Source organism: Homo sapiens, chromosome 17, assembly GCF_000001405.40.
Source record: "Homo sapiens chromosome 17, GRCh38.p14 Primary Assembly".
Taxonomy (NCBI): domain Eukaryota; kingdom Metazoa; phylum Chordata; class Mammalia; order Primates; family Hominidae; genus Homo; species Homo sapiens.
In genome coordinates this window covers 42,645,814-42,667,489 of record NC_000017.11, presented here as the reverse complement: position 1 = coordinate 42,667,489, position 21,676 = coordinate 42,645,814, and the positions used below count along the sequence as shown (strand labels likewise).

Genomic DNA, 21,676 nt, shown 5'->3' with positions numbered 1-21,676 from the left:
AATTTCTCTGGCACAGAAAAGTAACTCAGGATGTGCTCAGCCCTACTCTTGAATTCTGTTTCTACTTATCAGGTTGGGTTGAACTGGATTGAGTTCCTGGAACTCTCATGGCCCTGGGCACTGGGAATCTGGAACCTTGGCTCTCCTGGCCTGCTCAGAATGTAGTGTGCCCTCCTTCAGTAGACCCCACCTCCTCTGCCCTGAGTGGAAGAGGTTGGGGCAACATTGACCCTCACTGGGGCAAAGCTTAGGCGCTGAGGAGACAGCAAACCTCAGTAAAGCTCTGTAATCTTGAGACAAGGGCTGACTCTAGTAATACTAAACAGCCTAGTTCAAGGTGAGGGATGCCAATGGAAACAGTGAACACACTAAGATTTGGACTAAGTGATAAGACGTTGGAGGAGGTGAAGGCCACCCTACTGTCAGATGCCTAGAAACTGGACCCCTTCACCACCCCCCCGTATTCACAGATCAAGCCCTGGCTATACTGACAACCAAGCTTTATTACTTTATTAGAGCTGAACAAGCATATTAAAAGTTAGGGCATGGAAGGGAGGAAGCAGGACCAGCTCACGGGCTGGAGATGAACCAAGAAGGGTTGTCCATGAGGTGAAGCTGGGTCAGAGGGAGCAGGCATGGTCGAGGCTGTGGTTACCATCTAGAAGGAGAAGGAGTAGTGGGGAGGGAAATCACTGCTCCTGGGTGCCCCAGGAAATGTAGTCTGGCTGGGTGGCCGCATGGTACTCATCAATGAGCTCCTGAACAACCTCCCTAGACCTGTCCATCTCATCAAAGTTGTCCTTGAACATGTCCTCCTTACGGAACTGCTCGAGGAAGGCATCCCGCTTCCGCAGCTTGTCAAACTGCTGGCAGGAACTTTCAAAGAGCTGAAAGAGATGAAAATCTCCAAAATGCGAGCCAGGGGGTTAGGAGTGAACTTGGGGAAGATGATGAAGGTGGCCAGTGGAACAGACTCTTCTAAGAAGAATAGAAACCTAGACTCACCGAGGAGATGCTGGTGTGGTTGGCCATCATGAGCCCGCTGACCCGGTGGGCCGAGGGCAGGTAGGGAGACTTCCTCGACAGGGCCACCTGGATGCTGGCGGGGCCCCACGGGATGAAGTTGGCCAACTTCCGTTCCCGGATCCTCTGCAGGCTCTTGTGGACCTGGGGTGGGCATAGGAGCAGTGGAGGTGGCCTCTCCTCTACCCCTGCAGGTCCAGGGCGCGGGATGAAGGGGCCTCCCCTACCTGGGTGGGGTCCACCTCTCCCTGGATGATGTTGAGGATGGCGATGTAGCAGTGGTTGGTCTGGCGGTCTCGGCCTGTGGACACCATCACGTTCTTGGGCTGCAGCAGCCGCCTCATGACATCCAGGACCGTGGTCTTCCTCACGCTGGCCACCTGATGGGACAGTGAGACAGGGACCCGGCCAGCGCTCAGGGCACAGTCCCTTTGGCTTCTCTTTGGCAGAAGCCAAAGGCAGAGGGAGGGTGGAGAGAAAGTCAGCAAGAAAGTCGCCCGCTCTGTGCCAGTCCCTGAGCGCAGTGCCTTGGGGCCTGCAAAGGGCAGCTCCTGGGGCAGTGGGGAAGAGAGAAAGGCTGGGGCAGGGCCTGCTGGGCCCAGGGCCAGCCTGGCCTGGGACACTGAAGGCTGCTCTTACTGACTGGTCTGTAGTGAGCGGGGTGTAGCCGGTCATGAGGAAGTGGAGCCGTGGGGTGGGAATGAGCGAGGCGATGAGGCCGATGAGGTCATTGTTCATGTAGCCGGGGTAGCGCAGGGTGGTGGTGCTGGCCGACATGATGGTGGACACCTGGGGACAGGCGTGCCATGTCATGGGGCTCGGCCTGGGTGGGACCTTCCTTCCCCAGATGACCCTCCAGCAAGGAGGGCTTCCAGTCCAAAGGAGTCCGGGAGTGGGGGCCCACCAGCTGGTTGATCTGGGAGAAGGACGGGTTCTGGATGTGCAGGCGGTCTGTGGCAATCCGGTTCAGGGCTGTGTTGTCCAGCACCACCTGGGGGGACAGAAGAGCATCACAGCATCTTGAGGATAAAATGGGCATAGAAATAAGATATTGGCTTAGCCCCTGCTGAACTCCAAAGCCAGGAAGTAGGTTTGTTAGTTTAAAAAAAAAAAGTACTGAGGCCGGGCGCGGTGGCTCATGTCTGTAATCCCAGCACTTTGGGAGGCCGAGACGGGCGGATCACAAGGTCAGGAGATCGAGACCATCTTGGCTAACACGGTGAAACCCCGTCTCTACTAAAAATACAAAAAATTAGCCAGGCATGTTGGCGGGCGCCTGTAGTCCCAGCTAATTCGGAGGCTGAGGCAGGAGAATGGCATGAACCCGGGAGGCGGAGTTTGCAGTTAGCCAAGATCATGCCACTGCACTCCAGCCTGGGGGACAGAGCAAGACTCCGTCTCAAAAATAAAATAAAATAATAAAATAAAATAAATAAAATAAAATAAAAGTACTGCTGGGCATGGTGGCTCAGGCCTGTAATCCCAAGGCCAAGGTGGGAGGACCACTCGAGGCCAGGAGTTGGACACCAGCCTGAGCAACACAGCAAGATGCCATCTCTGTAAAAAATATAAATAAAAAAGTATAAATATATATAATATATATATATATATATAAATATAAATAAAAAATAAAAAGAAAGAAAAGTACTGTTTCTGGGGCACCATGAGATACTCTCGGACTACGCAGGGCAGTAAACAAACACGTGAGTACCCACATGTGCCATACACTGTGCCTGGCTCTGGGAAGACCACAGAGAGGAACAGGCACCGTCTTTCCCTTCATTAGGCCTATAGTCTCGTGGAGGGAGGCACACTAAATATAAAACAGAAAATTATAGTTAACTCCCTAAAATACACATATAGGAATCTGATCTTGACTGAGTAGTCAGGAAGGGTTTTGCTAAGAAAGTTATCCTTGAGCTAAGAATACAAGCATGAGTGGGCATTAAGTAGGCAAAGGTGGGATACGTGGTGGTGTGGGGAAGGTATATTCACTTTGTTGAGAGTTTTGCTGCCTAAAAGGATTCTAAGAAACTTAGAAGTCAGGACCTTATTTCCTAATTTGGCCCACAGGTATGGCTTTGTTGGTCTTCTGTCTGTGTGTATAGGGGCTGAGGAAAGGTGGGGTGAATGAGACTCACTGGCCTGAGGAGACAGACCAAAGTCCTCTACCCTTTTTTTTTTTTTTTTAAACACAAGGTCTTGTTCCGTTGCCCAAGCTGGAGTGCAGTGGTGTGATCATGGCTCACTGCAGCCTCGACTTCCTGAGCTCAAGCAATCCCCCCACCTCAGCCTCCCATGTAGCTAGTACTACAGGCACATGCCACCATGCCCGGCTAATTTTTTTTTATGTTATTTTTTGAGGCAGAGTCTCGCTCTGTCACCCAGGCTGGAGTGCAATGGTGTGATCTTGACTCACCGCAACCTTTGCCTCCCGGGTTCAAGTGATTCTCCTGCCTCAGCCTCCAAGTAGCTGGGACTACAGGCACATGCTACCAGGACTGGCTAATTTTTTTTTTTTTTTGAGACAGAGTCTCGCTCTGTCACCCAGGCTGGAGTGCAATGCTGCAATCTCAGCTCCTTGCAACCTCCACCTCCCAGGTTCAAGCAACTCTCCTGCCTCAGCCTCCCGAGTAGCTGGGACTACAGGCATGCGCCACCACGCCTGGCTAATTTTGTTTTTTTAGTAGAGATGGGGTTTCTTCATGTTGGTCAGGCTGGTCTCGAACTCCCAACCATAGGTGATCCGCCCGTCTCAGCCTCCCAAAGTGCTGGGATTACAGGTGTGAACCACCGCACCCAGCTCTAATTTTTGTATTTTCTGTGGAGATAGGGTTTCACATGTTGCCCAGGCTAGTATTGAACTCCTGAGCTCAAGCAATCCATCTGCCTAGGCCTCCCAAAGTGCTAGAACTACAGGCATGAGCCACCACACCCAGCCCCTCAACTCTTTCTTTGCTCACCACACAATCTGCGTTCTGCGTCAGCCTCTTGAGTGTCAGGAGTGAATTGTAGGGCTGAACCACTACGTCGCTCATCTCGTCCTGGTAGGGAAACACTGAATAAGTCTGCACTAGCTTCTTGGGGTACCTGAGAGAAAAGAGGATGGTGGCATAGTGAACCGGAAGGACCCCTCCATCACTGCCCATATGTGCCATTTTGTACAAAAGGGGTGAGGGCAGAACTGAGTCTTCAGAGCCAAAAAGGATAAGCCTGAAAGCTTCAAACTCTGTAGATCCCCTCCCCTCCACAGGTAAACCCCCACCCCCCAAAATAGCTTCCAACATGGTCCTTGGGTGGGTCTGTCCCTATGACTCAAAAGGGGTAGTGGCAGACTTTCTAGCTCAAGAGAAAAAAGCAATGACATTACTCAGGGAACCAGGGTTAATGCCCTCTCCCCAAACACAGGCTTGCCTGTCATTCAGTCGCTCCAGGAGGTAGGAGCCCAGGCCAGAACCCGTACCCCCAGCGATGGAGTGACACAGCACGAAGCCCTGTGTGTATACAGGAATAAACAGACTCAGTTTCTCCTGCCACACTCTCACAACACAATTCTGATACCAGATGGGTGGGGTCTTACCACACACATCAGGTAAGCAGTCAATTCTACAGTAGATGCCAGCTGGGTATCCACTAATTCACTTCAATTCTGGACTACCTACAGACTGTCCCTGACTTAGGATGGTTTAATTTAAGATGTTTTGGCTTTATGATGGGTTTATCAGGACATAATCCCATCTTAAATCAAGAAGCATCTGAATTACAATGGTTCAATTTACAATTTTTCAACTTCATGATGGGCTTATTGGGTTATAACCTGATGCATTTCTACTTACGGTATTTTCAATTTTTTTTTTTTTTGAGACGGAGTCTTGCTCTGTCACCCAAGCTGTAGTGCAATGGCCCGATCTTGGCTCACTGCAACCTCTACCTCCTAGGTTCGAGCCATTCTCCTGCCTCAGCCTCTCAAGTAGCTGGGACTACGGGCATGTACCACCACGCCTGGCTAATTTTTTTATTTTTCGTAGATACGGGGTTTCACCATGTTGGCCAGGCTGGTCTTGAACTCCTGACCTCAAGTGATCTGCCCGCCTCGGCCTGCCAAAGTGTTGGGATTACAAGCATGAGCTACCGCACCTGTCCTCAAATTTGTTTTGGTTTTAGAGACAGGATCTCACTCAGTCCCCCAGACTGCAGTGCAGTGGTGTGATCATAGCTCACTGCAGCCTTGAATTCCTGGGCTCAAGGCATCTTCCTATCTCAGCCTCCAAGTAGCTTGGACTATAGGCATGTACCACCATGCCTGGATAATGTTTGTATATTTTGCAGAGATGGGGTTTCACCATGTTGCCCAGGCTGGTTTTGAACTCCTGGGCTCGGATGATCCACCTGCTTCGGCCTCCCAAAGTGCTGGGATTACAGGCATGAGCCACTGTGCCTAGTCAATATTTTCAATTTGTGATGTGTTTACATCCTGATAAACCCATTGTAAGTTGAGGAGTATCTGTACCTGAAGATAGCATCAGATCCCACAGAGTGAAGGCTCAGTCCCACAAGACTCTCCCACTTCCAATGCCAACACAAGCTTCAGGTTGTTTTATCTGTGCCTCTGACCAACCAGCTATAAATCGAGGTTCTCAGGACTGCTCCTTGGGTTCAATTAATTTGTTAGAGTAGCTCACAGAACTCAAGGAGACACTTACTTACGTTCATCCATTTGTTATAAAGGATATTTTAAAGGATACAAATAAACAGCCAGATGAAGAGATACCGAGGGGAAGCTCTAGAAGGGTCCGGCGCATAGGAGTTGCTGCCCTGTGGCGTTGGGTTTGCACCCTCCTGGCCTGTGGATGTGTTCTTGTTCACCTTCCTGGAAGCCCCCAAACTCAGTCCTTTTGGATTTTTATGGAGGCTTCATTACACAGGCATGACCGATTAAATCATTGGCAATTGGTGCTCTACTCAATCTTCATCCCCTCTCCCTTCCCCAGAGGTGAGGGGTGGGCCTGTAAATTCCAACCCTCAGAGCACCAGGTTTGTTCCCCTGGCAACCAGCCCCCCATCCAGTGGCTATCTGGGACTTTCCAAAAATCGCCTCTTTAACATAAGCTCAGGTTTGGTTGAAAGGCACTTGTTCCTCCTTAGTACAGTGGTTAGTAAAATTAACTAATTAAAATAAAATGAAAGATTAAACTAAAAGAAACGGGCTTGTTATAAATAACAAAAGACTGTCTTTCACCTTTATCACTCTGGAGCTGTTCTGGAGCTGTTTCAGAAACCAAGGACAAAAGGTCAAATATTTTAACAAAACATACTATTATTGCTCTAGTCCCTTAGGAAATTACATGGGTTATAAGAGCTGTAAGCCAGGAACATATCGCACCCAGCATGGGGAGAGATGGAGAGGCAGTCTCCAAGGATCTGGGGGAGAGACTTCGGCTTGGTTCATTCTCCATTCCCAAAACGCCAATGTCTCAAAGCTTCCTCTTATGCATCCAGGCTGAGGCTCCTTGGGAAGGTTTGGAGCTGGAGAAGCAGCTGAATGACTCATGCCTAAGGGGCCGGTGCCATTCAGATTTATGACTTCCTTGAGAACAAAGATTATATCTTATTCACCTCAATATCCCACATCTGATGCTCCATAAACGGGTTTTGAATTGAATTGCTCCCCTCATATTACCTATCCAGGCCACCTCCTGACCTGTCCCCAGCACTCTTCGGCCTCCCTGCCCATTCCTTCCCCCACTCCATAACTTCACCTCCAAACTGTCACTTCCATCTGCTTCTCGGTCTATGATGTCAAAGATGTCTTCATGAATTTTCTCACCCTGTATAGAGATATGGAAAGGGAGGGTCAGGCCAAAGGTTCCAGAGAGCATCTTTTCTCAGCACAGCACCAAGAATTCTGTCTACCCTGGAATATTGTTGCCACCCTGAAGCAGAGCCTAGGCTGTAGCCCTCAACCCAGAAGTGCTACTATTGCAAATGATTTGCACAAAATTTGCATAAACCTCTCCCTGGCTGTCCCTCTTGTTCGGGACATCCTTTTGTCTCTTATTTTCTGTCAGTCAGGTCAAATTCCTAGTAGCTTGAGCCTGCCTTGCCTCTGGATGGGAATATCAAAGGTCTCTGGAATGGTCGCTAGGACACCTGGGAGAATCCGCTGGCCCAGTTGTTGCCAGCTCCTCCTCCATGTTCCGACAGGTAGATGTTCTCTGGGTTGTAGAGCTTGGCATAGGGGGAGTTGAGGATGGAGTGGATCACCCGGGGTTCCAAGTCCAGCAGCACGGCCCGGGGGATGTAGTGCTCATCGTCTGCCTGTCAAGGGGAGTCCAGGAGGGGGCCCAATCAGCTAGGGCGGCCCAAGTCCGAAGTCCTCCCAACTCTGGCTCCCTCCGGCCCTCCCTCCTCAAGCCAGCCGCCTGGCCCTACTGCCCAGCGGGGTTCCCAGTACCAGGCCACTCCCTTCCCTTCCGCCCCCTTGGGCCACTGCCGCCCCCGGCCAAGTCGCTGGGGGCACCTGGTAGAAAAAGACGTCCTTGCGGTCAGTGCCCTCGGTGGCGAATTCCTCCACGATGCCCTCGGGGCTGATACCATGCTCGGCGCACAGCTGTTTCCAGAACTCGAACCCAACTGGGGGAGGGGGGAGATGCCCGGGTCTGCTGGAGCCTTAAGGCCTGAGGAGCCCAGTTTTAGTCTCAGAGGCTGACACGATCAGAGGGTGGACCCAAGATGCCTGGGTTTGGTAGCTGCCCCAGCCCCGGGCTGGAGGCGCAGCTCTCGGTCTGGGTTATCCAGAGCAGCAGGGCAGGGGGTTCATGGAAGGGAAAGGGGGACTGGTGGAAGCCAGGCACTTGGGTGGGACCCGAAGGGGCAGAACCAGAGACCGGCGGGGCCGGCGCTCGCTTGCTCACTCTGGTTGCCGCACTGGCCCAGCTGCAGGGTGATGATCTCCCGGGGCATCGCTCTTCAGACGTGGGCGCGCCAGCCCCGGCCTGGCGAGAGTCACGGCTGAGACGAATGCCCGGCAGCCAGGAGCGCAGGACGTGGGGAGCGCGCGCTCTCTTCGCCTCTTGACGCGGATGCTCGGTCTGCGCGTGTGCAGCGCAGGCCTCTCCTCGGCCGGTGGGCCGGGGAGCCCAACCTGGGCATCATTTTCTCCCTCAGCAGTCGCAGCTGGAATTCCGCACAGGCGCAGAGTCAGGCCACGCCCGCTCCTGCCCACCGCTCCGCGCCTGCGCAGTGAGACTCGTTGGGGGTGGCAGGGTCGGAACCTGGATGTGTTGGGGAGGAGAGGAACGGGGGAGGGGAGGAAAGGGGAGAAGCGGCCAGGTGGATGTGCTTGTCCACGTGTAAGGAGTCATCTACCTATATTGGTAGGTGAGGACACTGTCAGCTTTGCTAGATCAAAGGGCTAGAAGCCAACTTTTCTTCGTTTAAATTTCTGTTTTTTAATGGTGTTACAATACATACACATGTATGTTACCTTTTTATTTTTTAGAAGGGTCTCGCTCTGTCGCCCAGGCTGGAGTGCAGTGGCGCGATCATAGCTCACTGTAGCCTTGAACTTCTGGCTTAAGTGATCCTCCCACTTCAGTCTCCCGAGTAGCTGGGACTACAGGCGTGTGCTACCACGCCCAGCTAATTTTTAAATTTTTAAAATGTATTTTTATAGAGATGGGGATCTCACCGTGTTGCCCAAGATGGTCTTAAACTACTGGCCTCAATCAATCCTCCTGCCTTGGCCTCCCAAAATGCTGGGATTACAGGCATGAGCCACCACTCCTGGCCTAAATTTACCATTGTAACCATTTGTAAGTACTGCATACAGTTCTGTGGCACCAAGTACACTCACATTGTTCTGTAACCACCACCACCATTCTTTTCTAGAACTTTCTTATCTTCCCAAACTGAAACTCTATCGCGATTAAACAGTAACTTCCCCTTGACTACTCTAGGCACCTGATATGAGTGGAATTATACAGTATTTGTCTTTTTGGGTCTGGCTTCTTTCACTTAACATAATATCTTCAAGATCCTTCCATTTCGTAGCATGTGTCAGAATTTCCTTCCTTTTTACAACTGAATAATATTCCATTGTATAGATGTACCACATTTTGCATAACCATTCATCCCTCCATGGACATTTGGGTTGCTTCCACCTTTTGGCTATTGTGAATGTTGCTGCTTTGAATGTGAGTGTACAAATATCTGTTCGAGTCCCTGCTTTCAATTATTTTGGATATACACCCAGAGGTAGAATTGCTGGATCATATGGTAATTGTGTTTAATGTTCTGAGGAATCGCCATACGATTTTCCATGGTAGCTGCACCATTTTAAATTCCCACCAGCAATGCACAAGGGTTCAGTTAAATAAATTTTATAGGAGGCCATTGATTTGCACTGAGCTCCTGTGCTTGGCTCAACAGACCAAACCAAAATGGAGTCACTCACGCTAAAGTTCTATGTCACTAAGCAACACTAAGTTGTTTATCAAACCTTCAGAGGAATCAGGAGAGGGAAGGAAGAGCCAAAACCCCAAACAAGCCAGTGTGAGCCGGCATGATACGGAAGTCCTTTTACAAGAAAAGTAACTTTGAAAGGACCCATCTGCTTTTTTTCCTTCTGTTTCTATTTTTCTCTACCCTTTTTTGTCCATAAAAACTAACCTGTGCTTGACTCATCTGAACACTCATTCTATTTATTTTATGGAATGAAACGTAGCCTGATCTAGAATCACAAACACTGTAAATGCCACTTAAGATTTTTTTTTTTTTTTGAGACTAAGTCTCACTCTGTTGCCCAGGTTGGAGTGCAGTGGCATGATCTCGGCTCACTACAACCTCTGCCTCTCTCAGGTTCAAGCGATTCTCCTGGCTCAGCCTCCCTAGTAGCTGAGATTACAGGTGTGCACCACCACACCCGGCTAATTTTTTTGTATTTTCAGTAGAGACAGGGGTTTTGTCATGTTGCCCGGACTGGTCTCGAACCCCTGAGCTCAGGTAATCCACCTGCCTCAGCCTCCCAAAGTGCTGGGTTACAGGCATGAGCCACCATGCTCAGCCAAGTAGCCAAGTTACAATCTTTTTTTTTTTTTTTTTTTAGATGGAGTTTCGCTCTCGTTGCCCAGGCTGGAGTGCAATGGCTCGATCTCAACTCACCGCAAGCTCCACCTCCCGGGTTCAAGCGATTCTCCTGCCTCAGCCTCCCAAGTAGCTAGGATTACAGGCATGCACCATCACGCCCAGCTAATTTTGTATTTTTAGTAGAGACGGGGTTTCTCCATGTTGGTCGACCTCATGTGATCCACCTGCCTTGGCCTCCCAAAGTGCTGTGGGATTACAGGCGTGAGCCACCACGCCCAGCCTTTTTTTTTTTTTTTTTTTTTTGAGACGTAGTCGCACTCTGTAGCCCAGGCTGGAGTGCAATGGCTTGATCTCAGCTCAGTGCAACCTCTGCCTCCCAGGTTCAAGCAATTCTCCTGCTTCAGCTTCCCAAGTACCTGGGATTATAGGCACGCTCCACCATACCCTGCTAATTTTTGTATTTTTAGTAGAGACGGGGTTTCATCATGTTGGCCAGGCTGGTCTCAAACTCCTGACCTTGTGATCCCTTCCAAATGTTGGGATTACAGGCGTAAGCCACCGCACCCAGCCTCTGAGACTTTTTATGCAGCCTTGGAATCCTGGGCTCAAGCGATCCTTCCACCTCAGCCTCCTGAGTAACTGGGACCACAGGCACATGCCACCATGCCAGCTAATTTTTTTTTTGAGACAGAGTCTCTTTCTGTTGCCCAGGCTGGAGTGCACTGGCATGATTTTGGCTCACTGCAACCTCCACTTCCCGGGTTCAAGTGATTCTCTTGCCTTGGCCTCTTGAGTAGCTGGGATTACAGGCATGAGCCACCACGCCCGGCTAACTTTTGTATTTTTAGTAGAGACAGGGTTTCACCATGTTGGCCCGGCTGGTCTTGAACTCCTGACCTCAGGTGATCCACGCGCCTCGGCCTCCCAAAGTGCTGGGATTACAGGTGTGAGCCACCATGCCCGACCTTTACAGTGACTTTTCTACATTCCACCAGGCTGGCTGTTCCCTCAGGAATAATCTCCTGTGTGTCTGAATCATATATACCCAACTGTGACTAGAATGGTGAACTGTGAGTCCTGCATCAACCCAAACATGCTCTTCCACTCTGCATACTGCCCCTAAATTAGTCACTCTCAGAATCCATTTTAGTAAATGTTCCTCAGGAAGCTGATGATACTGATCTATGAAATGGAACAATTCCTCCACACTCTACTGTCTGGTTTCGATAATTACTTGGTTCCTTCACATTGACTACCTTCTTGGTAACCACAGGTCTCAGAGGTACTTTCTGTTGTCCCTGCATAATTTCCTCCTTTGTGGGTGACTCCGAGGCTAGTGGCCTGAGCTCAGCCAGACCCACATCTGTGCTTGGTCCAGCCTCAATTCCTAACCCAGCACCCTCTTTTACTTTCATTTTAGCCATTATAGATAACAATAATCAGGGGGCTGAATATTTCACATTTTTCTTATTAGTTTGCATTTCCTTATGCATTCAATGAACCAATTCCTGGGAGTTGGATCCATCTCTAAATTCCACTAGTAAGTTTTACCTTTAGTAACTGATCTCAACAGAGTTGTGGCTTCACACCATGGTGACCACGTGGTCACCCAGGAATTGACGACCTCTTCCTCCACCCTTTTATCCTTTTTCTTCCCAAACCACATGTTTATGTGAGTCAGGGCCATTCCTGCAAATCCCACTTCACTGACACCAATTGTTTAGAGAAAACTGTAACCATTTCCTCTACTCTCACACCACAGCAATCATCCACACAGATTTCTGTGACCATACACATGGGGCTTTTGTTCCCCACCCAGCAGTGGACACCAGCTGGGTGTCCTTTAATTCAGTTCTAACACCATCTACCCAGAGACAGTGTCAGACCTCATAGGTTGAGGGCTTAGTCCCCAAGACTGCCTCCCTGCCCCGCACCAGTCCCAAGTCTGGGCCTCCAGAACTTCTGACCAGCAGGCTTTAAGTTGGGGTTCTCATGACCCCCTCTTTGGGTCCAATTGATTTGTGGGAGCAGCTCACAGAACTCGGGGAAACACTGACAATTACTGGTTTATTAGAAACCATATTGCAGGCCTAGTGTGGTGGCTCATGCCTATAATCCAAGCACTTTGGGAGGCCAAGGCAAGTGCATCGCTTGAGGTCAGGACTTCGAGACCAGCCTGGCCAACATGGTGAAACCGTCTCTACTAAAAAAAAAAAAATTAGCCAGGTGTGGTTGGTGGGTGTCTGTAATCCCAGCTACAAGGGAGGCTAAGGCAATGAGAATCGCTTGAACCCTAGAGGTGGAGGTTGCAGTGGGCCGAGATGGCGCCACTGCACTCCAGCCTGGGTGAAAGAGCAAGATTCCATTTGAAAAAAAAAAAAAAAAAGCCAGCATATCGCAAAGGATACAGATGAAGAGACACGGAGGGTAAGGTATGAGGGCAGGGGTGTGGAGCTTCCATGCCCTCTCTGGGTGCTCCACCCTCCAGGAACCTCCAGGTGTTCAGGCATCTGGAAGCTCACTGAACCCTGTCCTCTTGGGTTTTCATGGAAGCTTTATGGGAGGGTCTTAAGGCCCACAGTCAGAAAGGCCCAGGAAGGTTAGAGTGAAAGGAGTGCAGGAGAAGGTCAGATACTGCCCCTGAGGGCTAACACACTCAATATTATAACAAAAGACTAACAAGGACTATGAGAGTCATGAGCCAGGAGCTGTGGACGAAAACCAATATGTATCATAACACCATACCATCTTTAAAAAAAAAAATAGAGATGGGAGTCTCGCTGTGTTGCCCAGGCTCATCTCGGACTCCTGGGCTTCCTGGGCACAGTGGAACAGCCTGTAATCCCAGCACTTTGGGAGGCCGAGGCGGGAGAATCGTTTGAGGCCAGGAGTTTGAGACCAGCCTGGGCAGTATAGTGAGACCTCATCTCTGCAAAAAAAATTGTTTTAATTAGCCAAGTGTGGTGGTGGTGCCTTTAGCCCCACCCAGCTCCTTGGGAGGCGGAGGTTGCAGTGAGCAGAGATCCCGCTGCCACTGCACTCCAGCCTGGGCAAGAGCAAGATGCCTTGTCTCAAGAAAACAAAAACAAAAACAAAAACTCCCGGGCTCAAGCGGTCCTCCCTCCTCCGCCGCCCAAAGTGCTGGGGTTACAGGCGTGAGTCCCTGCGCCCGGTCCATACCATCTTTTCCTTTATGTTTTGCACGTTTTATACTTTGTTAGAGAAAACATCCCCTATCCCAGTGTCATACAGCTATCTTTCCGTTTTCTTCCCAAAGCTCTGTAATAGCGTTGCTTGTTCCCTGTAGGTCTCTAGTTCATCTGGAATTTATTTGGAGGCCTGCCGTCAGATAGGATCTACTTTATCTTTTCCGTATGGATGGCCAATTGTCTCCAAACCAATTACTGAAGAGGCGGTGCAGCCTCCCCCACCCCCTGGGGCGTTCCAAGTCTTCGCTGGGAAGACCTTTCCGTCGGTCTGTCAGTCTGTCCCTGCCTGGCGGGCTTTCTCTGGGAACCGCTGCAGACGCGCTGGCGAAAGCACCACCGCCAAGAGTCATGCTCAGACGAGAGATTTTGTTTTCTTCTCTCTCTCTCTCTTTTTTTTTAAAGAACTCGGCCGCTTTCCAGTCCCCAGAATCCTCTGGGCTTCTTGAGAAGTCTCTGGCTCGCCCCACGCCCGCCCTCTACCCGGCCTCGGCTCAGTTTCCCTCCCCGCACCCCGCAGAGCCTCTCAGCTTCCTCCAGCTCTGGTCGGGAGGATCTCCAGCGTCCCCCAAGAGGACCCAGTAGTCTCGCCCTTTCAGGGAAGGGTTCTTTTCTCCCTCTGAAGTTGAAGGGTAGGGTGGGAGCTCCTTCGTTAGCCTTGAGGCTCCCTTCCCCCAACAGAACCGCTCCTTAGGGGCTGGCTGTTTTCAGAGGCTTTGCCAGGACTGTCTCCCAGTCGGCCCAGGTGAAGCGCATGGCTTCAAGAGATGAGAATAAACTGACCCCCGGCCACGTGAGTCTGGTAGGGCTTTTACATAGTAAGCTAATGCCGGGCGCGGTGGCGCCATCTTGTAGTCCCAGGTACTTGGGAGGCCCAGGCGAGAGGATTGGTTGAGCAGAAGAGTTTGAGCCCAGACTGGGCAACATAGCGAGACCCCCATCTCTAAAAATAATAATAATAATTAGCCGGGTATGGGGGCTCACGCCTGTAATCCCAGCACTTTGGGAGGCCGAGGCGGGCGGATCACTTGAGGTCGGGAGTTCGAGACCAGCCTGGCTAACATGGTGAAACCCCCGTCTCTACTAAAAAGACAAAAATGAGCCGGGTGGTGGCACATGCCTGTAGTTACAGCTGCTTGGGAGGCTGAGTCAGGAGAATCGCTTGAACCTGGGAGGCAGAGGTTGTAGTGAGCCGAGATCTCGTCACCGCACTCCAGCCTGAGCGACAGAGTAAGACTCCGTCTCAAAAAAATAAAATAGGCCGGGTGCGGTGGCTCACGCCTGTTATCCCAGCACTTTGGGAGGCCGAGGTGGATGGATCACCTGAGGTCAGGAGTTCGAGACCAGCCTGGCCAATGTGATGAAACCCTATCTCTACTAAAAATACAAAAATTAGCTGGACATGTGATGGTGGCCTGTAATCCCAGCTACTTGGGAGGATGAGACAGGAGAATCGCTTGAACCCGGGAGGCAAAGGTTGCAGTGAGCCAAGACCGTGCCATTGCAGTCCAGCCTGGGCAACAAGAGCGAAACTCCGTCTCAAAAAATAAATTAATTAAATTAAATAAAGCAATAATAACAATGATAATTAGTTCATAAACACTCGGGAAACCGGGGAATTAAGTTTCTCCTTTTCTTGTGATTCGTAACAGTGCCTTACTCAAACATATAGTCTCCCAGAAGTTGAAGGATGAGTTGAAGTCTCCCAAAAGTTGGAAAACTTTCTTCAAATCCCAGGTTGTAGGCAAGCAGGTTAGAAAACGTGAATTTGGCCGGGTGCGGTGGCTCATGCACTTCGGGAGGCCGAGGCACGTGGATCACCTGAGGTTGGGAGTTCGAGACCAGCCTGACCAACTGGAGAAACCCTGTCTCTACTAAAAACACAAAAAATTAGCTGGTCGGCCAGGCGCGGTGGCTCACGCCTGTAATCCCAGCACTTTGGGAGGCCGAGGCGGGCGGATCACGAGGTCAGGAGATCGAGACCATCCTGGCTAACACAGTGAAACCCTGTCTCTACTAAAAATACAAAAAATTAGCCGGGCGAGGTGGCAGGCGCCTGTAGTCCAAGCTAATTCGGAGGCTGAGGCAGGAGAATGGCGTGAACCCCGGGGGGCGGAGCCTGCAATGAGCCGAGATTGCGCCACTGCACTCCAGCCTGGGCGACAGCGAGACTCCGTCTCAAAAAAAAAAAAAAAAAAATTAGCTGGGCATGGTGGCACATGCCTGTAATCCCAGCTACTCGGGAGGCTGAGGAAGGAGAATCACTTGAACCTGGGAGGTGGAGGTTGCGGTGAGCTGAGATCGTGCCATTGCACTCTAGCTTGGGCAACAAGAGTGAAACTCCATCTCAAATTAAAAAAAAAAAAAGAAAACATGACTCTGAGTTGGAGGAGTTGCACGGCACACTTCCTCTCAGAAGCCATCTCTAACACACAGGAGGCTCCTCTCTTTCTGGTCTTGTAGAAATGGGTTGGAAATTGAAATGCACTCGCAGAACTGACCGTAGCTCTCCCAGTCATTAGCAGGGTATGCCTTCCAATCAATATGGGTTAAATGAGATGATGCATGAGCACCTAGCACAGTGACTGACTCATAGTAAGCACTTAACAAATATTAGCCACTGTTATTATCACTAGATGCAATCGGAACTGAAGTATATAGCTTGGCTGCTGCTGCAGATGAAAGATTTTTTTTTTTTGAGACAAGGTCTTGCTCTGTCACCCAGGCTGGAGTGCACTGGCACAATCATGGCTCACTGCAGCCTTGACCTCCTGGGTCCTGGGCTCAATTGATCCTCCCACCTCAACCTCCTGAGAAGCTGGGACTACAGACACATACCACCATATTGGCTAATTTTTGTTTATTTCTTTGTTTTTGAGACAGAGTATCACTCTGTCACCCAGGCGGGAGTGCAGTGGCACGATCTCGGCTCACTGCAACACCCCCGTCTCAAGTTCAAGCAATTTTCCCACCTCAGCCTCTCAAGTAGCTGGGATTACAGATGCCAGCCACCATGCCCGGCTAATTTTGTATTTTTAGTATAGACGAAGTTTCATCATGTTGGCCAGGCTGGTCTTGAACTCCTGACCTCAGGTGATCCTCCTGCCTTGGCCTCCCAAAGTGCTGGGATTACAACCATGAGCCACCTCACCTGGCGTTTTTTTTTTTTGTTTTTTTTTTGTAGAGACGGGAGTTGCCCAGGCTGGTCTTGAACACCCAAGTGCTTATGATCCCACAGATTCAGTTTAAGATCGAACTTTCATGAGGTTCAGCAGAAAGCCCAGGGTCATGGTCCTTCTCATAGGTTTCACATCCAGGGCCTCAAGGTCATGTACCCATGGCTTGATTGTTGAATGTTGACTTTAATTGGCTTGGCTGCAAGTTCTCTGGTCCTGGTTGTGATAATGCAGTGGGATGTGCTGTTCCTTAGTCTGAGGCCTTGGTTGGCCTCTGATAATAAACGTAGCATTTGTAAACTAACAAGTTTGTTAAATGTCCAGAGCCTTTCTTGGACATCCCAGGTGGAATAAAACATGTTTTGGGATGCACTTTCATTCTGACCTTTCCTGAATGCCTAGCCTGCAGTATGTCAGGAGCACAGGTATCTTGTCAAGGTGAGGAAGTAGAAGTGTGAGGTGGCGGAATGAGGCTGTGGCAGGGACTGGGAAGAAGAGCAGCTAATTAGAGCTTCTTCCAGTCATGAGACTGGAATCTTATGACCCTGGGAAGTTTAACTTTCGAAATAAAGAAAAGGGGGCCAGGCGCAATGGCTCACGTCTGTAATCCCAGCACTTTGGGAGGCCGAGGCGGGCAGATTGCCTGAGGTTAGGAGTTCAAGACCAGTCTGGCCAACATGGTGAAACCCCATCTCTACTAAAAATACAACAACAACAAAAAAAAATTAGCCAGACATGGTGGCGTGCGCCTGTAATCCCAGCTACTCAGGAGGCTGAGGCAGGGGAATTGCTTGAACCAGGGAGGTGGAGGTTGCAGTGAGCCGAGATTGTGCCACTGCACTCCAGCCTGGGCACAGAGCAAGACTCCGTCTCAAAAACAAAACAAAATAAAACAAAAAAGAAAAGGAAAAATTAAAACAATGATGGCAAAGAGCCGACGCTCTTTATGTGAAGGGAGTTGTACTAAATTCATATTTTAGTTGTGAAATAGAACAAAATGGGATGTTTCTGTAGTTGTTTTTGTTTTTTTTTTTTCGGAGAGGGAGTCTTGCTCTGTCGCCCAGGCTAGAGTGCAGTGGCGCGATCTCGGCTCACTGCAAGCTCCGCCTCCCGGGTTCACACTATTCTCCTGCCTCAGCCTCCTGAGTAGCTGGGACTACAGCCGCTGCCACCGCGCCTGGCTAATTTTTTGTGTTTTTAGTAGAGACGGGGTTTCACCGTGTTAGCCAGGATGGTCTCGATCTCCTGACCTTGTGATCCGCCCGTCTTGGCCTCCCAAAGTGCTGGGATTACAGGCTTGAGCCACCGCGCCCAGCCCTGTTTCTGTATTGTTTTCTCAAGGAACAGGAAAAAGAAAATAAGCCTAAAAGTAATCCTGTTTGTAGATCATTTGATTATTCTTTTTTTATTATGCATCTATACTAGGCTGGAACACTGGAATTTTTTTCTTGATAGTTTTTTTTTTTTTTTTTGAGATGGAGCCTTGCTCTATCGCCCAAGCTGGAGTGCAGTGGCGCGATGTCGGCTCACTGCAAACTCCACTCCTTCAGTTCACGCCATTCTCCTGCCTCAGCCTCCCAAGTAGCTGGAACTACAGGCGCCCACCACCACGCCCAGCTAATTTTTTGTATTTTTAGTAGAGATGGGGTTTCACCGTGTTAGCCAGGATGGTCTCGGTCTCCTAACCTTGTGATCCGCCCACCTCAGCCTCCCAAAGTGCTGGGATTACCGGTGTGAGCCACCGCGCCCGGCCCCTTTTCTTTATAGATTTATTTGCCATATATATATTTTTTTCTTTCCAACTCTTATTCTAGGTTCAGTGGGTACACCTGCAAGTTTGCACACTGTTTTGTTTTGTTTTGTTTTGTTTTGAGACGGAGTTTCACTCTTGTTGCCCAGGCTGGAGTGCAACGGCACGATCGGTTCACTGCAACCTCCGCCTCCCAGGTTCAAGCGATTCTCCTGCCTCAGCCTCCCCAGTAGCTGAGACTACAGGCATGAGCCACAACGCCCGGTTAATTTTGTATTTCTAGTAGAGACACGGTTTCTCCATGTTGGCCAGGCTGGTCTCAAACTCCTGACCTCAGGTAATCCACCTGCCTCGGCCTCCCAAAGTGTTGGGATTACAGGTGTGAGCCACCACGCCCGGCCTTGCACACTATTTTAAGCTCAGAAAATAGAGATAGCAAACCAAAGTCATATGGTTTTGTGAAGGCAATAGACATACCAAAAAGTTAGCACCGAGTGTAGAATACAGAACTCCTCGTCTTCATCTTCCTCTTCCACCTTTTTCTGGGCAACTTTAGCAGGACCCTTTGCGCCATCAGACTTTCCTTTCGACTTATAGACAGCAACATCCTTCTCATACTTTTCCTTCAGCTTTGCCGCCTGAGTGATGTAAGGCTGCTTTTCACTGTCATTTAAGTTCTTCCACATCTCACCCAGCTTTTTTGCCACGTCTCCAATAGGGATGCCGGGGTTTGTGGATTTGCTCTTGGGGCAGAATTCTGAACAGAACAGGAAGAATCCAGACGGTGGCCTTTTGGGGGCATTAGGATCCTTCTTCTTGCCTCCTTTAGCTGGTCCATAATCCTTAATTTCCTGATCATAGTGCACTTTATCCGCCTTTGCCAGTTCATTGAATTTAGATTTCTCTTTCTTGGACATTGTCTTCCACCTCTCAGAGCACTTTTTGGAAAATTCTGCAAAATTGATGGGGACTTTTGGGTTTTTCTTCTTATGTTCTTCTCTGCACGTCTGCACAAAGAAGGCATAAGCAGACATCTTGCCCTTTGGTTTCTTGGGGTCACCTTTAGCCATCCTGACTGTATTGTTCACTAGTCTTGTTCTTCAAATATTATAGCCAATCATGCCACACTTGCCTGTGATCTCTCCAACATAAAACCACATTCACACCTCAGTGGCCACCAAATCATTCAGCACCACTTCCTTAACTGTGAGCGGTTTGAAGCTACCAGTTTGAGCACTAGTGACTTATTTTTTTCCCCCAGGCTTTGGATAGCTCTAGGGATCTCAACAGGGGTGGAGGAACCAGCTCAACTTTGGCATAGTACCAAAATGTGGCCAGTTGAGGTTTCACATAAGTCACAGCAGCATTGTTCACTAGCGCCAGAGTCACCTCTGTGAGGTTACGGACAAATTAGGCCGTGGTTCTAGGATGGAAAGTCCGTCACCCCAAACAGGCAGCTGAACATCCAAAAGATTGGTTTTATAGACAGAAAAGGACTGAGGAAAGCAGAAACAGAGAACAAAAAGTGGATTGGTTGTTTCAAAGCGATTTCCTTACAGGATTGAAACAGAGGGGGCCTCATTATCATGGCAACAGGTAAACTGAGCTCTTTAGATTGGGTGCTGTGAATCTCGTGGTGTGGTTTTTTAAAATTTATTTAATTTAATTTTTTTTTTTTTTGAGACAGAGTCTCGCTCTACCACCCAGGTTGGAGTGCTATGGCATGATCTTGCCTCACTGCAAACTCCGCCTCCCAGGTTCAAGCGATTCTCCTGCCTCAGTCTCTCGAGTAGCTGGGATTACCAGCGCGCACCACCATGCCCAGGTAATTTTTGTATTTTTAGTAGAAACCAGGTTTCACCATGTTGGCCAGGCTGGTCTCAAACTCCTGATCTCAAGTGATCCTCCTGCCTTGGCCCTCAAAGTGCTGGGATTACAGGCATGAGCCACTGTGCCTGGCCTTTTTTTCTTTCTTTTTTTTTTTTTTTTGAGATGAAGTTTCACTCTTGTTGCCCAGGCTGGCACGGTGCAGTGGTGCGATCTCGGCTCACTGCAACCTCTGCCTCCTGGGTTCAAGCGATTCTCCTGCCTCAGCCTCCCAAGTAGCTAGGATTACAGGCATGCACCACCACACCCAGCCTAAAGTACCTTTTTCTGTCTCCATATGACTCCATTTCCCTGCAGCCTCAGATGCCAACTCGTTTCCTCTTTGGAGCTTTCTGCCGCCTAGGCTCTTGCAGTATTCTTCTCTATGGCTGTGCCTTTAGCTGCAAATAAAAAAAAAAGAATCCAAGTCAAGTAGCTTGAACCATAGGAAAAATATACCTCACATTTGAAGAGCTTCAGGGCTGATTAATTTGAAGGCTCAGCAGTGTCATCAGGGACTTGGGTGCCTTCCACCTTTTTTTTTTTTTTTTTTTTTTTTTGAGATAGGGTCTCACTCTATCACCCAGGCTGGAGTACAGTGGCATGATTTTGGCCCGCCACAGCCTCGACGTCTGGGCTCAAATGATCCTCCTGCCTCAGCCTCCCAAGTAGCTGGGAGTACAGGCATGCACCACCATGCCCAGCTAATTTTTTTGTTTTTTTTTTTTTTTTGGTAGAGACAGGGTTTCACCATGTCACCCAGACTAGTCTTGAACTCCTGGGATCAAGCAATCTGCCTGCCTTGGCCTCCCAAAGTGCTGGGATTACATGCATGAGCTGTTGCTCCCAGCTACCGTCCACCATTCTGATCTACCACCCTGAAGACGATGGCTTGTCCTAAAGGTGCTCTCTGCACTGTTCGAGGATGACTGCAGCAGTGTGTGATGGTTAATTGGGTGTATTACTTGACTGGGCTAAGGGATGCCCAGATAACCGGTAAAACATTATTTCTGGCTGTGTCTGTGAGGGTGTTTCTGGAAGGGATTCTCATTTGAGCTGATGAACTGAGTGAAGCAGATGGCTCTCCCAGTGTGGGTAGGCATCACCCAATTCATTAAAGGCCTGAATAGAACAAAAGGATCGAGCAAGGGTGAACTCCCTCTCTCTGCTTGCGCTGAGACACCCATTTCCTCCTACCCTCGGACTTGGGCTTCCAAACTCAGAGTGGGACCCACATCATTGGCCCTCAGCTGATTACCTGGCGTTTGGACTCAGACAGAATTACACACTGGCTTTCCAGGTTCTCCAGCTTGCAGAGAGCATATCATGGGTCTTCCTGGCCTCTATAACCACATGAGCCAATTCCTATAAATCTCCTCATATATAAATATCTATCTGTATATCTATATCTAGAACCTACTGGTTCTGTTTCTCTGGAAAACCCTAATACAAGTCATTCCAATGCTATATCCCAACATGAAAAAATGCAGCTAGAGAGTGTGTCTTTTCCCATATGTCTCTTTATTTTTAACCAATGAGGAGACCTTCCCCAGAAGCCCCCAGAAGTC

General features: G+C 49.5%; 1 protein-coding gene and 2 pseudogenes across 3 annotated transcripts, besides 4 other annotated features; all 3 read right to left on the bottom strand.

Annotated features, from left to right (window-relative positions):
- Window positions 1-483: 483 nt before the first annotated feature.
- Window positions 484-8,206, bottom strand: TUBG2 (tubulin gamma 2). Of its 3 annotated transcripts, NM_001320509.2 has the most exons (12): window positions 7,938-8,206; window positions 7,544-7,656; window positions 7,174-7,341; window positions 6,783-6,851; window positions 6,263-6,289; window positions 4,438-4,517; window positions 3,987-4,113; window positions 1,928-2,014; window positions 1,663-1,812; window positions 1,251-1,403; window positions 1,006-1,167; window positions 484-887 (listed from the first exon to the last, which is right to left on the bottom strand). In NM_001320509.2, exons 1-12 carry the CDS (start codon window positions 7,984-7,986, stop codon window positions 690-692), a joined length of 1,383 nt encoding a protein of 460 aa, NP_001307438.1. In that variant the 5' UTR covers window positions 7,987-8,206; the 3' UTR covers window positions 484-689. The 3 variants fall into 3 exon arrangements, with proteins under 3 accessions (NP_001307438.1, NP_057521.1, XP_047291713.1); NM_016437.3 differs by lacking the exon at window positions 6,263-6,289; XM_047435757.1 differs by lacking the exons at window positions 4,438-4,517; window positions 6,263-6,289; window positions 7,544-7,656; window positions 7,938-8,206 and having other exon boundaries at window positions 7,174-7,220.
- Window positions 7,607-8,374: an enhancer, noted in NCBI's record as "H3K4me1 hESC enhancer chr17:40811134-40811901 (GRCh37/hg19 assembly coordinates)". NCBI's record gives its function as "activates a minimal SCP1, AML or CMV promoter by ChIP-STARR-seq in primed H9 embryonic stem cells {active_cell/tissue: H9 hESC(primed)}" and the evidence as "EXISTENCE:reporter gene assay evidence [ECO:0000049][PMID:30033119]".
- Window positions 7,990-8,059: an enhancer, noted in NCBI's record as "active region_12215". NCBI's record gives its function as "activates an Ori minimal core promoter by ATAC-STARR-seq in GM12878 lymphoblastoid cells {active_cell/tissue: GM12878}" and the evidence as "EXISTENCE:reporter gene assay evidence [ECO:0000049][PMID:35858748]".
- Window positions 8,110-8,179: an enhancer, noted in NCBI's record as "active region_12214". NCBI's record gives its function as "activates an Ori minimal core promoter by ATAC-STARR-seq in GM12878 lymphoblastoid cells {active_cell/tissue: GM12878}" and the evidence as "EXISTENCE:reporter gene assay evidence [ECO:0000049][PMID:35858748]".
- Window positions 8,190-8,249: an enhancer, noted in NCBI's record as "active region_12213". NCBI's record gives its function as "activates an Ori minimal core promoter by ATAC-STARR-seq in GM12878 lymphoblastoid cells {active_cell/tissue: GM12878}" and the evidence as "EXISTENCE:reporter gene assay evidence [ECO:0000049][PMID:35858748]".
- HMGB3P27 (high mobility group box 3 pseudogene 27) lies at window positions 18,752-19,336 on the bottom strand (annotated as a pseudogene).
- On the bottom strand, window positions 19,343-19,652 carry ATP5MGP7 (ATP synthase membrane subunit g pseudogene 7; annotated as a pseudogene).

What these genes read in the sequence shown, in the direction of transcription:
- TUBG2 (NM_001320509.2), bottom strand. Translation starts at nt 7,986, where the DNA reads ATGCCCCGGGAGATCATCACCCTGCAGCTGGGCCAGTGCGGCAACCAG. An exon ending in AGGACGTCTTTTTCTACCAG is followed by an intron (nt 7,342 to 7,543) that starts GTGCCCCCAGCG and finishes TCCCCTTGACAG; the next exon opens with GCAGACGATGAGCACTACAT. An exon ending in ACCACACCAGCATCTCCTCG is followed by an intron (nt 888 to 1,005) that starts GTGAGTCTAGGT and finishes CATCTCTTTCAG; the next exon opens with CTCTTTGAAAGTTCCTGCCA.